This window comes from Homo sapiens, chromosome 19, assembly GCF_000001405.40.
Source record: "Homo sapiens chromosome 19, GRCh38.p14 Primary Assembly".
Classification (NCBI taxonomy): Eukaryota; Metazoa; Chordata; class Mammalia; order Primates; family Hominidae; genus Homo; species Homo sapiens.
The window spans coordinates 33,471,236-33,493,050 of record NC_000019.10 but is presented as its reverse complement, the minus strand read 5'-3'; the positions used below and the strand labels follow the sequence as shown (position 1 = coordinate 33,493,050).

Genomic DNA, 21,815 nt, shown 5'->3' with positions numbered 1-21,815 from the left:
TAAAAAGTTAGCCAGGCCTGGTGGCATGTGCTTGTGGTCCCAGCTACTTGGGAGGCTGAGGTGGGAGGCGTGCTTGAGCCCAGGAGTTTGAGGCTGCAGTGAGGTATGATCGCGCCACTGTGCTCCAGTCTGGGCCACAGACAGGACCCTGTCTCAAAAAAAGAAAAAAATAAACCAAGAGGAATGGTCATCAGTGATAAGTAGCGATACCTGCTCAGTCTGAATAGCTGTTTATGGGACCCCATCCTTGAGTCTCCCTGGGACCTGCTGTGTCCTGTCGTGAGGATGTGGGCCTGGCGCCACACCCACTCCTAAGGTTAAACCTGGCTAGAAGATGTATTTGTGTCAGGCTGAGCTCCTGGAATTTGTGGATGTAGAAAGTCAGTTTAATGGGTACCAAAATATAGCTAGGTAGAACAAATCAGATCTGGTATTTGATAGCACAACAGGGTGACTACAGTCAACAATAATTTATTGTACATTTAAAAATAACCAGAAGAGTGCAATTGGATTGTAACAGAAAGGATAAATGCTTGAGGTGATGGATAGCTCATGTATCCTGATGTGATTATTCCACATTGCATACCTGTATCAGAATATTTCAGGTACCCCATAAATGTATACACCTAATATCTACCCATGAAAACTAAAAATAAAAAATTTAAAAAGGAAAAAAGAAAGTTTATTCCCACCCTCTGTCTCCCCTGTTAAAGGGGTCTGAAAACCACACCACCGGGCGTCTGCCCTCAAGGTAGCAGGGGTGTGGGGCGCAGTGACTGACCGAGGGCCTGGGCTAGGGTGGGGGGTGCGAGGTGGGCTCTGGGTACGCCGGCAGGGTTTTGGGGGCACTTGAGCTGTGGTGTGCCCCCAAAGAATTCTCTGGAATTTCTCAGAGAAGTGTGCTTTCTTACACTTCTTTGAGCTTGGGAGTTTCATATAAGAGGCATGTCCACAAGCCTTCCCCCCAAAGTGACCCTTCCCTCTTGTCTTTTTTTTTTTTTTTTTTTGAAATGGAATATAAAAAGTAAAGTAGAGGTTTCTCTTCAAAGACTTTCCTCCCCGTCTAATTAGAAATAAACAGTAACTTCTCTTAGAAGCAAAATTTATTCAAAGACCTGTGCTAACATTCTTAAATATCTGCTAGCTGTAATAAAGAAATCAATATACTTTATGTTTTTAGCTCCCACAATTTAACCTAAATATTTGCCCTGATGTGCTTATACTGGTCCAAGCAAACATAAGGTCATAGCCTGTTCCTCTTCCTTATTTAAAAGTGTTTTTACCTTTCTCAGCATTCCACAAGTTACTTCCTCCTTCCTTTCTCCCCCTCTACCTTTGCCTCTTTTAAAAAGTTCTAAGTTGCTAGCCAATCGGGACAAATACAGAATGTGGGGTCCCGTTCCAGGCAGTGGAAACCGGACACAGCAGTAGGGTGGACACGCCAGGTTATAAACGACCCTGTCTCCTTTGTTTGGTGAACTCTCGTGGCAAAACTGCTGGAGAGTGTACCCTTTCTGCAGGAAGTGAAAATGGCCTTACTAAATAAATTAAATTTATGTTCAAGTGCTATTTCTTTATGGCACTGAAGAACAAACATTTCAAACATGGAGTTTTGCTCTTGTTGCCCGGCTAGAGTGCAGTGGAGCGATCTTGGCTCACCGCAGCCTCCACCTCCCGGGTTCAAGCAATTCTCCTGCCTCAGCCTCCTGAGTAGCTGGGATTACAGGCATGCACCACCACACCCAGCTAATATTGTGTTTTTTGTTAGAGACGGGGTTTCGCCATGTTGATCAGTCTCAAACTCCCAACCTCAGGTGATCTGCCCACCTCGGCCTCCCAAAGTGCTGGGATTACAGGCGTGAGCCACCGTGCCCAGCCTTTCTCTTTTCTTAATTGATTTTTACCAAAATAGTTATTTCCTTTAGCACTTGGCCCCTTTTTTTTGCTTTACTGTCTTGATGGCTATAAGGGAAACTTATGTGAGATGATTATGGTCATAGATGATCCAATGTGTTCAATTTAGATATACAATTAGACATCAAGCTGAAGTTCTGGGTAAAGAAATGGTGATTTAAAATGCCTTGCCCAGGCTGGGCATAGTGGCTCATGCCTGTAATCCCAGCACTTTGGAAGGCCGAGGTACGCGGATCACTTGAGGTCAAGAGTTCGAGACAAGCCTGGCCAACGTGGCAAAACCATGTCTCTACTAAAAATATAAAATTAGCTGGGCATGGTGGTGCGCACCTGTAATCCCAGCTACTCGAGAGGCTGAAGCAGGAGAATCACTTGAACTTGGGAGGTGGAGGCTGAGGTGAGCCGAGATGGTGCCACCACACTCCAGCCTGGGTGACAGAGCAAGACACTGTCTCAAAAAAAAATAAGTAAAATAAATGAAATAAAATGCCTTGCCTTTCTGGAGAGGGCCCATTTTTCTCCAAGTCCCTTGTTTTGTCTCCATTCCTGTCCAAGTCCCATTTGGAGTCTCCTTGGAGTTAAGAGAGGGATGTCTCCCTGCTTCACAGCAGTCCTGCCACAGTCAGGTCCTGCACACCTCCCCAGAAGGGCTGGGTTCGACAGGACTCTTTCGGATGTTATACAGTTAGTGGGGAGTGTGTGCAGGAGAGGGAAGATGGACCAGGCTGGGGAGAGCAGATTTATATTGGGAGTGGTCCCGGGTCCTCGCCTGTGCCTGGGCAGCCTGGCTGGTTTCAGCAGAGTGCTCTGACCTCCATGGAGAAGGCCTTGCTGTGCAGCTGGGATGCTGCAGAGTTTGGGGGGCCCCCACTTCCTCCACTTGGCAAGTGGTAGCAAAGAGGTCTGTCCTTGTGTTGGGGCCGGGCCTGGAGCTACCTGGCTGGGTGGCTCATCTGTTGGGGGAAGGCAGGAGGGGATCCTGTTCTTACCTGTCCTGAGCCTAGCTGGAGGCCTCAGGGGTGCAGGCTGTGGGGGCGCCATGCGGCCCCGTGTGTCATGTCTGTGTTCTCTCTCCCCAGCGTGGCGTCAACACGGACAGCGGCAGTGTCTGCAGGGAGGCCTCCTTTGACGGCATCAGCAAGTGAGTCCTGGGCCCCCAGGGACTCTTTCCCCACCATCCCCCACTCCCACCTTCACTAGCAGGTCTTTCCCGGTCTACAAATAAGACATGAACTATGCAAACTTCTTTTTAAGGAGTTTGGGCATTTTGAGGAAATGTTTAGAAGCATAATTTGCCAAAAATCACCTTGATTTTTCTTGAAGGAAAGGTGCCCCGTGTCTGTTTGCTCCATAAGGAAAGTGCTCAGGCAGCCCTGGCCAGGGCAGGGGCAGGGGCAAGGGCAGGGGCAGGCACAGGTGGGTTGTTTTCCCTCTAAACATCTGCTGTGAGCCCCTGTGGTCTGTGCATCAAGCCACCACCCCCTTTCTTTTATTTTTTTATTTTTTTTGAGATGGAGTCTTGCTCTGTCACCCAGGCTGGAGTGCAATGGCCCGATCTTGGCTCACTGCAACCTCCATCTCCCGGATTCAAGTGATTCTCCTGCCTCAGCCTCCTGAGTAGCTGGGATTACAGGCACCCGCCACTACACCCGGCTAATTTTTGTATTTTCAGTAGAGATGGGGTTTTGCCATGTTGGCCAGGCTTGTCTCGAACTCGTGACCTCAGGTCATCCACCCACCTCAGCTTCCCACACTGCTGGGATTACAGATGTGAGACACCGTGCCTGTCCCAAGCCCCCTCTCTTAGTCCCAGCCATTAACCCCTTCCAACCCGGCTCTCAGCAGCTCCCCTGTGTCCCCTGCTGTCCTAATCCCAGGCAGGATCCCTTTAACCTCTTCTCACTCTTAACCAAGCGCCAGGCTGAGCCTCCAAACCCTGCTTGGGAAGCGGTTCCCCTTTTCTCTCCAGGCAGGAGGACAGACCTTGGGCACAGGGAAAGACGCCCCTCCCCTGCTTGTCACCCCTCACCCACAGCCCCCGGGAGAGCCTGGAGAGGGCGGGAGAGCCCTGCCCACTGGATGTGCTTGGGTCCCTGGACTGGCTGGTGACTGGCCCTGGGGGTCTGTGGCCTGCATTGCTGGCTGATGCCATAGCAGACAAGGCCCCTGCGCTCGAGGCTGCTGCACGTGGACAGTGGGCAGCTCCCAGCCCCAACTTTGGGACCTGGATCCCCAGCCCCTCCCCTATCATGCATCCCCTACAGCCCCCATGTCTTCTGTTGTCCTCTGGTGGACCAAGGCAGTGATGGAGGAACCGCCTTATAATTATGTATGAGCCCAAGCTGCTGGAATCTCTGTGTGTGATGTAGGGGTGATGAGGGATTATGAGCTCATGAATATGTATCACCTCCCACCTCCCCCTATGCTAAGAGCAGTGGGGCGGGTGGAGGGGCGGGTAGTAGGTTTGCTTTTTCACTGCACAGATCTTCGTGTCCTCCTGGGAGTTTCCCCAAAGCGGCCCCGCCTCCCACGCCTGGCAGCAATTAGCCCAGCTTGTTGAAATGCTGGCCATGGAGCTGCTCTCTCTCCCCAGGCCCCCAGGCCCTCAGAGGGGCTACGGGCACAGCCAGCTGCTGCCTGTCCCAGTCCCGGGACTCCCTGAATCCCCCCAGCACTACCTGGTGCTGGGTCTCCAGTGTCCTGCACACCTTTCCTCGACCATGCCATGGAACCTCTCTATGGCCTCTGTTTGGGTCTCTGCAGCAGGGGGACCCTCAGCTCCTCCACGTGTAACCTGGTGCTGCCTGGGCTTGTGGTGGGCACTGGAGGAGATCATGCTCACCTGGAGCCTGGCACAGAGCTGGTGCTCAGTGACAGTTGCCCGCATGCAAACCCCAGCAAATCCCATTGCTCCTCTGTGCCTCAGTCTCCCCATCTGCGTGGTGGGCCAGGTGGGCTCCAGGATCACCAATTCCCAGTTTCCCAGATGTCAGTGAGTCGAGGGCCTTCTCAGCGGTGAGAGCTTTGCTTGCTCCTCCTCTAGAGAGAATGCTGAGCCCCCCTGGACCACGTCTGGCAGCTGTGTGGTGGGTGTGGTTCCCAGCCAGGAGCTCAAGATGTGGCCTCTGAAGCAGAGCTCTGCCAGCTGCTCCTTGAGGTTCCCCGAGGAAGGCAGGTGGGGCCCTGGGCTTCCCCAGGGCCCTCATCACTGTCAGTGAGTGTCAGGAAGCAAAGGTCTCGTTCTACCCCCCAGGAGGATTCCTAGGTGTGACCTCTCATCCCAGTCTCTGTCACCTGTTGCCCCCCAGTCCCTGTGGCCTCTGCCAAGAGCCCAGAGGAGCCTGTGCTCTGCAAACTCCCCACCCCACCCTGTCACCACTGGGACACTTTTTGGAGAGCCAGGGACTGCCTTACTTTTGCACCATCTCCCCAGGCACCGGGCTGGTACCTCTCCAATCTCTGATCCAGGCCAGGCTGGGGCTGACTGGGGGGTGCTCACCCGGCCCCTCAGCTGGGGGCTGGGCTGAGACACTGCCCCCCACCCCGGGTGCTGGTGCGTCAGTTTCCGCACCTACGCCTTGGGCTGCTGGCCGAGTCTCTGACTTGGCTGTTGCAATGCGCAGCGGGTGAGAACCCTCGTGGCCATCTCTGGCCTGCTTGTTCTCCTCCCTCCCTTCCTTGTCCCCTGCAGGGGGCCATCCACCCATGTCTCTCCCCTCGGGGCCTTCCACCTCACTGCCACCAGGGCTGTTTCACTGAGGCAGGAGCTCTGGCTGGTGCCCCCTACCCTGCATGCCGTGGGCCTTGACATGGGGCCCCAGCCTTTGCCTCCAGCTGCTCCCAGCCGCTTCCCTGTGGACAGTCTTGTCTGCATTCCTGGGGTCCAGGTGCAGCTCATCCCCCTGCCTTCCACTCACCCAGGCTGCCAGCACTTTTGTGCCGGGCTGGGCAGAGACCACGTCCCCAAGAGCCGCTGCCGCTCAGCAACCGCATTCCCCTGCCTGCCGGGTGCACCTCCAGCTGCTAGCTGGGATATTAATAGCCTGTTTCCCAAGCAAGATGAATCTTGCTGTCGTCCTCCTCTCCAATACGCAGCTGCTTCCGCCCCAGTTGCCTCTCACTGCTCTGATGAAGCTGCTTGTTCCCGGCATTGTCCTTTTTGACCCTTTTAAATGTCTCTGCAGCACCTTGCACCTTGGGCTTCGATTGACCTCCTCCTCTAACAGAAGTTCAGGTTTGGCCTCTTGGTTTGACCTGATGGGCCCCCCCAGCTCCCCTTATCCCCTGGCCTGCAGGGAAGAGGAGCTTGTGGTAGACAGTGGTCCCCACCTGTCCACCCAGCCTATACCCTTGGGACCCTGGTCCAGCTGGATGGTTGGGCCAGGACCCCTCCAGGTGTGGCTACTCGGGGTGCCTGGCCTGGGGTCTGTCCCATTTGGGCTCAGCCTTGGTCTCAGACCTCCCTCCACCTCCCCAGATCAGGGCCAGGCCGCCTGCTGCCTGCAGTAAGAGTGTGTGGGGTCTCGAGGTGTGGGGACAGCAGAGGACAAGGAGCAGAGGGGACAGGGCAGAGGTGGGCTGAGGGTGGTGGGCATGCACACGGCCAGAGAGACCCTGTGGACTGAGGCCCCTGGGCTCACCCAGTGATGTGGCTCGGTGTGATGACAGTAGCGTGAAGGGTGTAGGCCGGGATGGTCTGTAGGGGCTTGTGAGTTTGGGGTCCGGCCCAGGCAGCAGTTCCGTGTGTGGCTTGATTGGAGCAGTCCCAAGGAAGATTTGGGAAGAGCAGGCTTTGCTGCGGGCTCTGGCAGGAGGGGTGGGTGTGGGCATGGGGTCGGGTGCTCATTGCCAGGTCCTGGCGGGGGCATGATGGGGGGTTGGTTTGGGGGCTAGTGGGGGCTGAGATGGGGAGGGGAACCCTGCAGCAAGAGACTTGAGACTTCTTCCTGCGGATGGCAAGATAGGCTCCCTGGAACACTTGGCTCCTGAAGGCTGGGAGCAAAGTCAGACATGGTAGATCTCTGAAAACATCTAAGGAGGTAGACGTTAGGGCAGGTTTTCCTGAGAGCAGGAGACTGACCATGAAGGAGAGATGGTCTGTTGGGGGATTGTTGGCAGGGGCTGGGTGGCCTGAGCTGAGGGATGCCTGTCCATCAAGTTTCCATGCCTTAACGAGGGTGCCTTCTTGGCACAAGGCAGTCGCCTCCCAGACAGACAGAAGCTGTACCCAGGAGCCCTGGGCCGGGGCAGCGAGTGACAGGGGCTCCGTTTCCTGCCATTGTATATGGTCAGTATTTTACATTTCTTACATCAGTGTAAGAAATACACTTATTCAGGCTAAGTGTATTTCTTATCTTTCGGCATTTACTTAGATCACCCTGCATATTTGAAGACAATTGGTAACGAATTGATTCCATTTAAGCAAGCAGTTAAAGATGAAATTCTGAATTTGGGGGTTGTTAATGCAGGAATATTAATATCCGAAGATGTGAATTTTAAAACCCAGGAAGTAGAGGGACATTATTAAAACTTGACGATTACAGCAAAATACCAATCTGTGGTTTGAGGACCGTGGTTTTCTGGTTACTGTTAACTTGGATATCAAGTTAATATTTAGGATTGGCTTCTTTTTTTTTTTTTTTTTTAGACAGAGTCTTGCTCTGTTGCCCAGGCTGGAGTGCAGTGGCACGATCTCAGCTCATTGCAACCTCCACCTCCCAGATTGCAATGATTCTTCCGCCTCAGCCTCCCAGGTAGCTGGGATTACAGGTGCGCACCACCACACGTGGCTAATTTTTGTATTTTTAGTAGAGACAGCGTTCACCATGTTGGCCAGGCTGGTCTCGAGCTCCTGACCTTAGGTGATTCACCTGCCTCGGCCTCCCAAAGTGCTGGGATTACAGGTGTGAGTCAGCGCGCCCAGCCAGGATTGGCTTTCTAATTGTGACCCATGGAGTTCTCGGTGAGGGGAGGGACCCTCAAGAGGTGAGAACCTGACCCAACCCTTTGGCAGGGAGCAGAGTGGAGGGGCTGCCTCATCTTTGGGTGAGATATGCCCGGAAAGAAGCCAGTGGCCTGGGACAGGGGCTTTGGCCCTCTCATCTCCCAGCCCACATTTAGAGCTCATCAGGAAATTACACTCTGCTTCCAGGGCACGCCTACCCTCACAGGCCCAGTGGGATTTCGTTGATACTTTTACACGATTAATACATGCTCATTGTAGAAAATGCTAACCAGCATGGAGGCAAAAATGAGAACTATATGAATTTTATTACCCAGGGTTCAACCTGTTAACCTTGTCTTTTGGATTCTTCCGTGTGTGTCTGATTGTGTTTCTCTGAGTATATTTTTGTGTCTGAGTGTGTGTGTGTGTGTCTATCTGTGTATACACATTGATCTGTGTCTGTGTTTACCTGTATGTGTGTATATCAGGGTGTGGATCTTTTTGTGTGTCTTAAGTATTTGCCTGTCTGAGTATGTGTGTGTATATGTGTGTCTACATTCCCCTAAGCTTGTGCCTTAGTGTGTGTTTGTGTGTATGTGTTCCTGTTCATGCCTGCCTACATCTGTGTGTGTGCATATACAGTGGGGTCTATCTATGTGTGTCCGAGCATGCCCCTGTTGTGCACATGGCTGTATGTGTCCGTGTGTGCCTCTTTTCCAAGCGTATGCCTGTCTCTGTGTGTCTGCGTGTGTGCATCTGTGTCTATGTGCTGAGTCACTCTGTGCTGGGTCACTTTGCTGCTTGTGTGCATGTGCACGTGTGTATGCGTACGTACGTTGAGTAAGATGAAATGGTGGTGGTGTGTTTGGCTGCTGAGTAGATTGGCCACTGCTTTTCCTAGGGTCAAAGTGGCATTTGGTGCAGTGGGAGCCAGAGTCTATTTTGTAGTTTTGATTTATGTCACCTGCTGCCCTGTTCTTCACTTTGAACCACACTGGCTGCCCGTAGTCTCTTTGATATTTCATAAGTAAGGCTTTGATTCCACAACATTTAGGTTGACTTTGAATCATATAGTTCTGTTTGTATAGTTAAGGATCCTGAAAGCTTCAGACATCTGGAATCCTCTCAGTCTGCTGTTACCCCCTTCTCTCTTCTCTCCCCTGTCCCTGCCCCTGTTCAGTTGGCTCAGCTAGAAGGGCTGCTGGCCTCACAACCATGGCATTACATAGGTGTTTTCAACACCATTAACGAAGCCATGGAGGGTCCCTGGCTGGCAGGAGGACAGGAGGTCACGACCCTGCGTGTGCTTGTGTGTGCTATCCTTCCCTAAGATGGGGCAGGTCTTTTTTTCTTTTTTAAAGAGACAGGCTTTTTTAAAGAGACTGGGCAAGAGTCACTCTTGCCCAGGCTGCTGGAGTACAGTGGTGCAATCATGAATCACTATAGCCTCAACCTCCTGGGCTCAAGCGATCTTCCCACCTTAGCCTTCTGAATAGTTGGGACTATAGGTGTGCGCCAACACACCCAGATAATTTTTAAATTTTTTGTAGAGACAAAGTCTCGCCACATTGCCCAGGCTGGTCTTGAACTCCTGGGCTCAAGTGATCTTTCTGCCTTGGCCTCCCAAACTGTTGGGATTACAGGTGTGAGCCACCACACCTGGCTAAGGAGCAGGTCTTGGAATCCAGAGAGTTGAAGTCTTGCCGAGGCTTCTCTGCTGAGGCCTATAGCTTGTGCTAGGCTACCTTGTTCTCCAGCTTGAGCTCTGTGTCACACAGGGTTCTCTTGTGTCAGAGATGTGCTCTGACCTGATCCTTTTGTCTCCTGGGGTCACCTTTTCAATGATGTTCATCTTATCGAAGAGCAGCTTTTGGCTTTGTAGATTTTTCTTATATGGTTCCTTTTTATTTCATTGCTTTCTTCAAGGGTCATTCTTAGGATGGAAGTTTAGATCGCTGATTTTCAGTGTTCTTTTCTGCTGTGTATGTTTAGAGCTATGAGTTTTCCTGTAAGCACTGCTTTAGCTGCATTTCTCACAGGTTATGATATTTCATATTGTTATTTTCTAATTTCATTGTATTTTTATCTTTGAGCCATGGATATTTTTTGATTTCTCATTTAATTCTACTGTGATTAATGAATGTTCTCTGCATCTCAGCCCTTTAAAATATGTTGAAACTTCCAGCACGTGACCATTATGATAAATGTTCACATACACTTAAAGAAAGCATGTATTCTGCAGTTATGGGCCATAGTGTTCTGTATATGTCAATTACGTCAAGTTGGTTAATTTCTTGTTTATATCTTCTATATCTTTCCTGATTTCCCTGCTTGCTTATTCTGTCACTACTACTTTGTTTTATGGCTGAAAAATATTTTTTTCTATGGATACGTACCACATTTCGTTTGTCCATTCATCAGTTGGTGGACACCTGGGTTGCTTCCAACTTTTGGCTGTTCTGAGTAATGCTGCTATGAGCATAGATGTCAGACTTCTTGTGTGAACATATGCTTTCAGTTCCCTTGGGTATATACCTAGAAGTGGAATTGCAGGGTCGTCTGGATGCCTTTCATGTCTTTTCTTGCCTGTTTGCCTTGGCTAGAACCTCCAGTACAGAGTTGAATAGAATTGGAGACAGCAGACATGCTTGCATTGTTCCTCATCTTAGGGGAAAGCTTTTAGTCTTTTACCATTCAGTATGCTATGATGTTAGTTGAGGGAGTTTTTTGTAGATGCTCTTTATCAAGTTGAAGAAGTTCCCTTCCCTCCCTAGTTCATTGAGTATTTATTATGAAAAGGTGTTTGATTTTATCAGTTTATTTTTCTCCATCTATTTATACAAGCATATGGTTTTATTATGTGTTCTATTAATATGATTGATGTGTTACATTGATTTCTTTTTGTATGTTGAAGGAATCTTGTATTCCTGGGAAAAAATCCCACTTGGTCATGATGTATATATATCCTTTTTATATGTTGCTGGATTCTGTTTGCTAGTGTTTTGTTGAAAAATTTTTGTCTCTATTCGCAAGGAATTTGGGTGTGTAATTTTGTTTTCTTAAGGTGTCTTTGTCTAGCTTAGCATCAAGGTAATACTGACCTTGTAGAGTGGTTGAAAAGTATTGCCTCCTTTTCTGTTTTTGTTGTTGTTGTTGTTGTTTATTTGTTTGTTTTGAGATGGAGTCTCTCTATCTCCCAGGCTGGAGTGCAGTGGTGTGATCTCAGCTCACTGCACCTCCGCCTCCTGGGTCCATGTGATTCTCCTGCCTCAGCCTCCTAAGTAGCTGGGATTACACGTGTGCACCATCACGCTGGGCTAATTTTTTTTATTTTTAGTAGAGATGGGGTTTTGCCATGTTGGTCTTGAACTCCTGACCTCAAGCCATTCTCCCACCTCTGCCTCCCAGAGTGCTGGGATTACAGGCATGAGCCACTGCACCTGGCCCTTTTCTGGTAAGAGTTTATGAAGATTGGTGTTAATTCTTTAAACATTTGATAGAATTTCTATTCATTTCATAGAAGACATTTGGTCCTGGGCTTTTCTTTATGAGAAGTTTTTTATTACAAATTTGATCTCTTGTTAAGGTCTGTTTAGATTTTCTATTTCTTTCTTTTTTTTGTTTTTGAGATGGAGTTTCACTCTTGTCACCCAGGCTGGAGTGCAATGGCACGATCTCGGCTCACTGCATGCTCAGCCTCCTGGGTTCAAGCAATTCTCCTGCCTCAGCCTCCTGAGTAGCTGGGACTACAGGCACAAGCCACCACGCCCGGCTAATTTTTGTATTTTCGTAGAGATGGGGTTTTGCAATGTTGGCCAGGCTGGTCTCGAACTCCTGACCTCAGGTGATCTGCCCGCCTTAGCCTCCCAAAGTGCTGGGACTGCAGGCATGAGCCACTGCGCCCAGCCTAGATTTTCTATTTCTTATATCAATTTAATAGTTTGTGTCTTTAGGGATTTGTTTCAAATAGGTTATCCAATTTGTTACTGTATGTTATTTATAATATTCCCTTATAAACTTTTTTATTTCTGTAAAGTCAGTAGTAATTTCCCCCTTTTTCATTCCTTTGTAAGGTTTGATACGTGATCCATTGGTTATTTAGGAGTCTACTGTTTAATTTCTACATATTTGTCAATTTTTCTATTTTCCTTATGTTACTGATTTCTTATTTCATTCCATTGTGGTCAGAGGGCATGCTTAGTGTGATTTCAGTCTTTTGAAATGTATTGGAACTTGTTTTGTGACCTAACATAAAGTGTATCCTGGAGAATGATCCATGTGCACTTGAGAAAATGGCTGTTCTGCTGCTATTGGCTGAGTATTTTAGAGCTACGTGTTAGGTTTTTGATATACACACACACACACACACACACACACACGCTATATATATATATTTTTTGAAACGGAGTCTTGCTGTGTCGCCAGGCTGGAGTGCAGTGGTGCGATCTTGGCTCACTGCAATCTCCGCCTCCTCGGTTCAAGCGATTCTCTTGCCTCAGCCTCCTGAGTAGCTGGGATTACAGGCGCTCACCACCATGCTCTGCTAATTTTTGTGTTTTCAGTAGAGACGGGTTTTCACCATATTGGCCAGGATGGTCTGGATCTCCTGACCTCGTGATCCACCCGCCTTGGCCTCCCAAAGTGCTGCGATTACAGGCGTGAGCCACCGCGTTTTTGTTCAGGTCTTCTGTTTCCTTTTTAATCTTCTGTCTAATTGTTTTATTCATTACCGAAAGTAGATTATTGACGTCTCCAACTATTGTCAGTTTCTCTCTCCAATTTTGTTAGTTTTTGATACATACATCTTAGGGCTCTGTTATGTGCATATATTTGTAATTGTTTTATCTTCTTTGTGGATTGACCTAATTATCGTTATAAAATGCCCTTCTTTGTCTTTAGTAAAACTTTGTATCTTAGGGCTTATTTTGTCTGATGTTAGTATAGCCATTCTAGTTCCACTTTCGTTTCTGTTTGTGTAGCATATCGTTTCTCATCATTTTACTTTCAACCTATTTGTGTCTTTGAATCTAAAGTGTGTCTCTTTAGAGCATATAATTGGATCATATTTTAAAAAATCATTCTGTCTGGCTTTTATTAAAAAGTCAAAAAGTAACAGATGCTGGCAAGGTTGCAGAGAAAAAGGAACACTTACACACTGGTGGTGGGAGTGTAAATTAGTTAAACCATTGTGGAAGACAGCGTGGCAATTCCGCAAAGACCTAAAAACAGAAATACCATTCAACCCAGCAATCCCGTTACTGAGTATACACCCAAAGGAATATAAATTGTTCTAACAACACATGCATGTGTATGTTCGCTGCAGCACTATTCACAATAGCAAACACATGGAATCAACCTAAATGCCCATCAGTGGTAGACTGGATAAAGAAAATGTGGTATGGTATGCACCATGGAATACTATGCAACCATAAAAAAGAATGAGATCATGTCCTTTGCAAGAACATGGATGGAGCTGGAGGCTGTTATCCTCAGCAAACTAATGCAGGAACAGAAAACCAAATGCCACATGTTCTCACTTACAAGTGGGAGCTAAATGATGAGAACACATGGACACATAGAGGGCGACAACACACACTGGGGCCTATTGGAAGGTGGAGGGTGGGAGGAGGAAGAGGATCAGGAAAAATAGCAAAATAACTAATGGGCACTAGACTTAATACCTAGGTGGCAGAATAATCTGTACAACAAAGCCCCATTACACAAGTTTACCTATGTAAGAAACCTGCACATGTACCCCTGAACTTAAAATTAAAAAAAAAAAAAGAATTCATTCGCCAATCCTTGCCTTGTAATTGGAGAATTTAATCCATTTACATCTAAAGTAATTATTGATAAGGAAAAACTCTACCATTTTAAAATTAGTTTTCTATATGTCTTATAACATTTTTGTTCCTCACTTTCTCCATTACATTTTTTTGTGTTTGATTTTTTTTTTATTGTCACATTTTGGTTTCTCATTTCCTTTTCTGTATGTTTTAGCTGTTTTCTTAATGATTATGGGGATTACAATTGACTACTTAAACTTGAAAATCTAGTTTGCATTAATGTCAGCTTAATTTAAATAGCATGCAAAAGCTTGCCCCTATATGTCTCCTTTTCCTCATTCTCTTTTGTGCTGTTATGGCATGTGGATTGCGTCTTTATTCATTTTGTACTTATCAATACAGATTTACAATTATCGCTTTATTCAGTTGTCTTTTAAGTCAGGAGAGAAAAGGAGTTACAAACAAAAAATACATTTATACTGTCTTTATATTTATCTGTATGGTTACCATTGCCAGTGCTCTCTTTCTCTTCACGTGGATTCAGGTTACTCTGCAGTACCTTTTCATTTTATTTGAAACAATTCCCTTTGGTTTTTCTTTCAGGGTAGGTCTGCTAGTAATAAATTCTCTTGGGTTTTGCTTATCTGGGATGTTGTAGTTCTCCCTCATTTATTAATAATGGCTTTGCTGGATATGGAATTCTTGGTGGACTTTTTTTTTTAATCTTTCAGCACTTTAAATGTCATCCCACTGCCTTCTCTCCACCATAGGTTTTGATGAGAAATCAGCTAATAATCTAATTGAGGATCCCTTGTAAGTGATGAATTATTAATACTTTTCTCTTGCTGCTTTCAAGATACTTTTTTGACAGTTTGATTATCATGTGTCTAGGTGTGGATATCTTTGAATTTATCCTACTTGGAGTTCATGGAGCTTTATGGATATGTAGATTAATGTTTTTCATCAAATTGGTGAGGTTTTTGCTTTCTCTGCATTCTTTCCTTCTGGTACTCCTATTGTGTGTATTTTGATATACTTGACACAAGAGACTATGCTGTCTGCCTAGTGGGGATCAGGGCTGGTGTTTTGTAGCCATAAAGCTTGCTCTCCAACTGACTGCATTTGGAGGACATGGCCCAGGCTGCCAGGTCTGCTGAAGGAAGGGATCAACAGGCCTTTTGTGGGTCAGGAAGTCATGAAATTAAAGTGTGGGACCCTCTTTAATGCATCACGTGTGCATGTCTTGAATGAGGTAGTTCTTGCTGGGACATGACAGACCGTTGGATTAATGGGCTTGATTTCTTTTCGCCCTACAGGTTCGAAGTCAACAATACCATTCTTCACCCAGAGATCGTTGAGTGGTGAGTACGGCCTGTGGTCACCTTGCCTGTTTGTTGTGCTCGGCTCATGGGGATGGAATGCCCTGTTGTTCCTGCCCACACCGTCTCAGAGAGCCCCTCAGAAAGCAGATTCCCAGAACCTTCTCCCATAGCCTTTTCTGTTTTGCTTGTTCTTTGTTGTTGGTTGACTGGCCGTACTTTTTTTGAAAGGACGTGAGTCACTTAAACATCAGTTAAACTTATTTCCCTTATTTGCAATCTTACAAAAACTCCTACCATAAGTAAACCAAACTTAGATAGCTCCAGCACGAGGTAGATGGTGAAAAGGGCAGAAATAAACATAACACATAATCCCATTGCCAGAAAGGTAAACATGTCACGCATGTGTCTTGACAAAGGTGGCATTCTGTTCTACGCATTCTTCTGTCACCTTCTTCCTTCCCATGGTGATACTGTTAGCCCTTACCTGCTGCACAACTGGCTTCTACTAGCTGCCTACAAAGTGAGCTGTCTTATGCTGGGCGCCACCTCTGTGGGCCCTGGAGGTGGCCCTCGCATCCCAGTGTGCCACCAGTTTTCTTCCTAAGCCATCGCATTGCTCTTTGACAGCAGCAAGGCATTTTTTCTTTGATGGATGGCTGCACGTACTGAGAATGTAGAAGAGAGGCAAGGCCAGGCCTTTGCCACATCATCACTTGCCAAGGAGATGTGTAGCCTTCTCACATATGACCCTAAGTCTGTATGATCACATTTTCTTTCCTGTCTAGCTGGGAGCTCTGACTCGCCTCGTCTTAGAGCTTGGGACCAAGGAGGTATCCTGAAAGATGAATGGGCATCGGCTGTGGAAAAAGAAGGAGTAGGAGAGAGTGACCCTGGCAAAAGGACCACTCGTTCACAGAAACAAGAGAAAGGGTGGTGGCTCTGTGTGGCCAGTGCGGAGCCAGGGAGCAGAGCCCGAGAACAGTTGGAGAGACAGGCAGTGGCTGGGTGGGCCTTGGTGTCCGTTTTGACTTTTTCTTGAGAGGAATGGGAAACACAGGAAACCCTTGAAGGGTTTAAGCAGGAGAATGGTAGAATTGGGTTTGCATTTAAAAAATCATTTCGAGCCGGGTGAGGTGGCTCAGGCCTATAATCCCAGCACTTTGGGAGGCCGAGGTGGGTGGATCATGAGGTCAGGAGATCGAGACCATCCTGGCTAACACAGTGAAACCCCGTCTCTACTAAAAATACCAAAAATTAGCAGGGCATGGTGGCGGGCACCTGTAGTCCCAGCTCTTAGGGAGACTGAGGCAGGAGAATGGTGTGAACCTGGGAAGCGGAGGTTGCAGTGAGCTGAGATCACGCCACTGTACTCCAGCCTGGGCGACAGAGCAAGACTCTGTCTCAAAAAAAATAAAATAAAAAATAAGAAATCATTTTGGCCTCAGACTAGAGACCCAGCTGTAGGGCAAGTGTGGGAACAGGTGGCAAGTTAGGAGGCTGTTGCAGGGGTCCAGCTGGCAGTGGAGGGCTGTGGCAGGACAGATCTGAGTGGTGAAGCCGCAGTCAAGAGGGAAAGCTCCTGGGAGGGACCGGTTATGATGCGTGAGTGAAGGGCAGAGTTGAAGGTGACTCCAGGTTTTTGTCCCGCATAGCTAGGTGGTGTGTCACTGAGATGGGGACAACTGGGAGGGCCAGATACCGGGGCAGATCTGGGACTTGGGGTGTGTTGAGTCTGAGGTAGGTGCCAGTGGGAGAGAGGGCTGAGCTGGGGGTGGAGAACTGAGGGCCGATGACAGGCGCTAATACTGACCCTCGGGGTTAGAGGCCAGTGGGTCCGACGCCCCTCACAGCCACACTCTGTGAAGACAGGGCTGGTGTTCTTCAAGTTCACAGCCACCTCTTGTTTTTATAAAGTAACAAAGCCAAGCTGGTGGCTCACGCCTGTAATCCCAGCACTTTGGGAGACAAACACGAGAGAATCACTTGAGGCCGGGAGTTTGAGACCAGCCTGAGCAACATAGAGAGATCCCATCTCTACAAAAACAAAATTTTAAAAAATTAGCCTAACACGGCATTGGACTCCTATAGTCCTAGCTTCTTGGGAGGCTGAGGCAGGAGGATCGCTTGAGCCCAGGAGGTCGAGGCTGCAGTGAGCCATGATTATGCTACCATACTCCAGCCTGAGTGACAGAGCGAGACCTTGTCTCAAAAAAATAAAGTAACAAATGCCTGACTTGTCCGTAAAAGGCAAATGATTCATAGGATCTGAAGAGAAACCAGAGAGCCTGTCCTATCTGTAGCCCCCATTTGGCAGAAGAATAAATCCTGGGTACTTAGAATGGGCCATGTCCACTTATACTGCCTCACATGGGACATTCCCTTGTGGTCACTTACAGCTTGGGTGCCTTGGAGACCATGGCTGGGTCCTGTACTCCTGCCATCTCCTAAGGGATAAGTCATTAATTCGTCACTTTCAAAGAAGCATGCTTTAATTCAAGTGACATTTTCGAGGCTTTGAGGTCGAGCCCGCGTTCCTAAGCATACCTCCCAACTTTATTAAAGCAAGCAGCAGAAAGTTGATGGCAGTAGAACCATTTTAGAAATGTCACATTGTCCCTGCTGCTCAGGGGTATGTTTTAATAGCCTGGGTCCCAGTCACTCTCGGTGGGTCCACTGTAGTCATGATCATCACACTCCCTGGGGCACTGAAGGAAGGATGCTGTGTGGGGCAGCGGGCGGGTCCTTTATTAACAGGAATGGGTGGGCTTTCCATGATGTTAGATTACGACTCAGGGACTCATCTTTTGCCCTTAGGTCTTGAATGCCTTCACCACCCTCTCTCTGTGGGAGGGTTATGGGGATAACAGGAAACCATCAACTCGGGCACATGTGAATTCTAGCCCTATCTCCTCCCTGCTCAGGAAGTCACTTGACTTTTCTGAGCCTCAGCTTCTTGATCTGTAAAACGGAGATGTGGTGAAACCTAACTCATGGTACGGATGTGAAGATTCACCCAGCCTCAGTTTCCTCACCTGCAAAGTAGGCTCAAAGATTGAATGAGAGTATAAGTGAAGGACTGGCATGTCTTTTTTTTTTTTTTTTTAAGAGACAGGATCTCACTTTGTCTCTCAGGCTGGAGTACAGTGGCATGATCGTAGCTTGCTGCAGCCTTGACCTCCTGGGCTCAGGCGATCCTCCCACCTCAGCCTTCCAAGTAGCTGTGACTCCAGGTACACGCCACCACATCCAGCTAATTTTTCTGTTTTTTGTAGAGATGGGGTCTCCTGTGTTGCCCAGGCTGGCCTCGAACTCCTGGCCTTAAGAGATCCTCCTACCTCAGCCTCCCAAAGTGTTGGGATTATAGGCGTGAGCCACCGCACCCAGCCTGGCACTTTTTTTTTGAGATGAAGTCTTGCTCTGTCACCCAGGCTGGAGTACAATGGCATGATCTTGGCTCACTGCAACCTCCGCCTCCCGGGTTCACGTGATTCTTGTGCCTCAGCCCCCGCCTCCCCACTACAGGTGCGCACCACCATGCCCGGCTACTTTTTGCATTTTTAGTAGAGATGGGGTTTCATCATGTTAGCCAGGCTGCAGCCTGGCACATCTTGATAACACTGACTGTCACCTGTTGAGACTCCATGTGTACAAGGTGTTGTGCTAAGCACTTAACACATGTCACTGTATTTAAAGATATTTGTGGTGTATTAGGTAAGTGTTCTAGTTATTTCCATGCTACAGATGAAGAAACTGAGGTACAGGGAAGTTAGTGACTTGCCCAAGAAAATGCCAGTTGAGCCCAGACTGTTGATCCCAGGCTCTTGCACTGCTCCTTGCAGCTCTGAGGGGGCACCCGTGGAGTGGGGCTGCCTGAGTGTCAGTCATCCTCCCAGCTCACTGCTGGTCCCACTGAACGTACGGTCCAGCACCCTTGGAATGGTCTTGTGCTGGGGCCAGGGTATAGTAGGGTGGAGAACCAGGGGGCAGATGCTTGGCTTCCTTGGCACCCACATGCACCCCAGCTTCTGCTAGCAGCTTGGCTGGGGACACAGGGTTCCTCAGGAGCCTGTCTTGATTGGAAGGCAGCAAGCAGCCTCTCCTAGCACAGGCAAACTCGCTTTCTCATTTTTGTTCGGCTGTCATTCATTTCCTTCCTGTGACTGTTTTATTGTTTTCCATTCTCTCAAGGAGCGCCTTTTTGATTGCCTGTAAATTCCTCTATAATCATACTCTTCCCCACAAACATGAGATCATAACTGGATAATTTCTTTTCTTGTGCTGGGTAGTGCAGTTTGAATGTGAAGGTCAAAAGTTGAAACTTCAAAAGAGCAGGCATCTTACTTCCATAATTTAGGCTGTGGTTCTGCTTTACTGTTTTGCAGATGATTAAATTGATCTGAAGGCAAGGTGGGAAATAAAAGGAGATGCTTTCATACCACCTGATAGCTCAGTGCCTTGGGTTTCGGTTAAGTACCTCTGGAAGCGTCAGGGGAGAGCAGGCGTGTCAGCAATTGCCGTGTGCCTTCTTGGGTTTTAAGCGAGACTGTGTTAAATTGAGTCATCTGCCGGTTTTAGAGCTGTTAATTACACAGAACGAAAAGTGTCCTGCATGCATTAATCAGGCGGTGGGTAACATGTCTATTTCTGCTCCCCGGCCTCTCTGTGTGCACAGGAGATGGGAAGCTGTGGTTGGTTCACAGGTAGACGTGTCCCAGGATTCTACATCCTGGGTAACATGTCCCAAATTAGAAAAGATACGTAGATGATGACCTAAATTCTCGGTGTGTCTGTGAAAAGGATTCCAGTAGCATTGCTCATCTTTGTGTCCTCATGAATAGGCATTTAACCCTACGCCAGCAAGAAAGCCACATGGGAAGTGGGACTCCTAGGGGAGAGTGAGAACTTGAGTCACTGCGCGCCAGGAGGCAGGAGATGGATGTGGGAGCATCAGACAGAAGGAAAGGCGTGGCCAGGCCCTGGTCCAGCGTGGAGGTGGACCTCTGCCCCACGTCTGCCCGTCCCTGGCTAGGTTTCAGGCACACTCAGCTCGCAGCTGAGCTAAACCATCATTTTCTTCATGGCTTTGGTTTCTTGGAGAGGACTTATTGATTGATTCCCCAGAGGATATGTAATTCCAACCAGCTCTTTTCTTTCTGTCCTTCCCCTTGTGGGATTTTATCCTTTGCATCACTGGGTCATGGAGTGTGGGAGGGATAGTTGTTGCGGGTTCAGTGGTGTTGAATTCCCGCCCACCTGGCTCCAATAGAATCATTCCCTGCACATCCATCTCCAGGAGAGATGGAATTCCTGGCCCTTTAAATGAGTTTTGTTCAACACGGTGCCACTTTGATGCTTAGAGGCTGATTTTGGAAATCCTTCATCCTTGTCTCACTACTATTTTAATCAGTGGAGTGTTTAGATCTCAGTTAATTGATATCTTAATTCAGGGTTTAATGCTCAGAGGCAGTGCTGTGACTTGTGAATGTTTAAGGAAAAAAATAAGGTTGCACAAGTACATCTTTGCCTCATCTACTTTTTGTGATTTTTGGTCTGTAGCAGGAGAGTAGGCCTACATGGGGTAGGAGACTTTGCCTCCCAGCCTCCCTGTCTGTTTGAGCAGCCTCCAGGCATGTTGATGCCCACAGCGTGGCCATGAGCTGGGGACTCTCTGTGAGGCTGTGCAGTGCCCACATTTCCTGGCACGTTTTTTCCTGGCCAAAGAGCCTGAGCTGACTTCTGCCCCAAGTTCTCTTTTTAGAGACAGGGTCTTATGCTCTTGCCCAGGCTGGAATGCAGTGTTGTAATCATGGCTCACTACAACCTCGGACTCCCAGGCTCAGGTCATCCTCCCGCCTCAGCCTCCCGAGTAGCTGAGACTACAGGTGCACACTCCCATGCCTAGCTGATTTTTTTTTTTTTTTTTGAGATGGAGTTTTGTTCTTGTTGCCCAGGCTGGAGTGCAATGGCTCAATCTTGGCTCACTGCAACTTCCGCCTCCCAGGTTCAAGCGACTCTTCTGCCTCAGCCTCCCGAGTAGCTGGGATTACAGGCATGTGCCACCATGCCCGGCTACTTTTGTATTTTTAGTAGAGACGGGGTTCCTGCATGTTGGTCAGGCTGGTCTTGAACTTCCGACCTCAGGTGATCCACCTGCCTCGGCCTCCCAAAGTGCCGGGATTACAGGCATGAGCCACTGTGCCTGGCCATCTGGCTGATTTTTAAATGTTTTGTAGACACAGGTTATCACTGTGATGCCCAGGCTGGCCTCGAATTCCTGTGCTCAGCCTTGGCCTTAGATCCTCTAGCCTTGGCCTCCCAAGGTGCCGGGATTACAAGTGAGAGCCACCATGCCTGGCCTGCTCAAACTTCTTAGGTGGCATCTTTGTCATCCTGTCCTGAGCCATGATTCTCTGTTGCTTCCTGGAGGAGGTGGCCTTTGTCCTCTCATGGGGCTGTCAGCCTTGTAGATCATACTTCTAACAACCACCCCACACATCCCCTGGGGCAGACAAGGCTGGGACTGAGTGTGACCATGCATCTCTCACTCCAGGGGCCGGTGGACCCACGGAGGCTGGGGCACCCTTTTGTCCTCATCTGTTCATGCTCAAGAACACTGGAAATGGGCTCATCATATTCAGGGTGGTGCATTCCTCCTGAAGACAGGGAGAAACTGCGCGGAATGCTGGAAAATCCTGTTCTTTTCTACAGTTATCTTAAAAACAGTTTCTGGTGTTTGTGCTGTGAGATAACCAGGCCAGGCTGGGGTGCATCCCTCTATGCCTGGCGCCTGGGTGAGACTTCAGGCCCAGAGTGCCCTACGGATAATTGGTTAAGCCAGCACACAGCAGA

At 48.3% G+C, this 21,815-nt stretch overlaps 1 protein-coding gene across 3 annotated transcripts in view, besides 3 other annotated features; it reads left to right on the top strand.

The window, feature by feature from the left end:
* PEPD (peptidase D) overlaps positions 1 to 21,815 on the top strand; it is a 134,842-nt gene that overhangs the window by 28,741 nt on the left and 84,286 nt on the right. For all 3 annotated transcript variants that reach the window (NM_001166057.2, NM_001166056.2, NM_000285.4), the window contains 2 exons: positions 2,994 to 3,055; positions 14,961 to 15,005. In NM_001166057.2, coding sequence (NP_001159529.1) covers positions 2,994 to 3,055; positions 14,961 to 15,005 — 107 coding nt within the window. The remainder of the gene's footprint in view (positions 1 to 2,993; positions 3,056 to 14,960; positions 15,006 to 21,815) is intronic.
* Positions 4,379 to 5,238: an enhancer, noted in NCBI's record as "H3K4me1 hESC enhancer chr19:33978719-33979578 (GRCh37/hg19 assembly coordinates)". NCBI's record gives its function as "activates a minimal SCP1, AML or CMV promoter by ChIP-STARR-seq in naive H9 embryonic stem cells {active_cell/tissue: H9 hESC(naive)}" and the evidence as "EXISTENCE:reporter gene assay evidence [ECO:0000049][PMID:30033119]".
* Positions 5,239 to 6,098: an enhancer, noted in NCBI's record as "H3K4me1 hESC enhancer chr19:33977859-33978718 (GRCh37/hg19 assembly coordinates)". NCBI's record gives its function as "activates a minimal SCP1, AML or CMV promoter by ChIP-STARR-seq in naive H9 embryonic stem cells {active_cell/tissue: H9 hESC(naive)}" and the evidence as "EXISTENCE:reporter gene assay evidence [ECO:0000049][PMID:30033119]".
* Positions 6,099 to 6,959: an enhancer, noted in NCBI's record as "H3K4me1 hESC enhancer chr19:33976998-33977858 (GRCh37/hg19 assembly coordinates)". NCBI's record gives its function as "activates a minimal SCP1, AML or CMV promoter by ChIP-STARR-seq in primed H9 embryonic stem cells {active_cell/tissue: H9 hESC(primed)}" and the evidence as "EXISTENCE:reporter gene assay evidence [ECO:0000049][PMID:30033119]".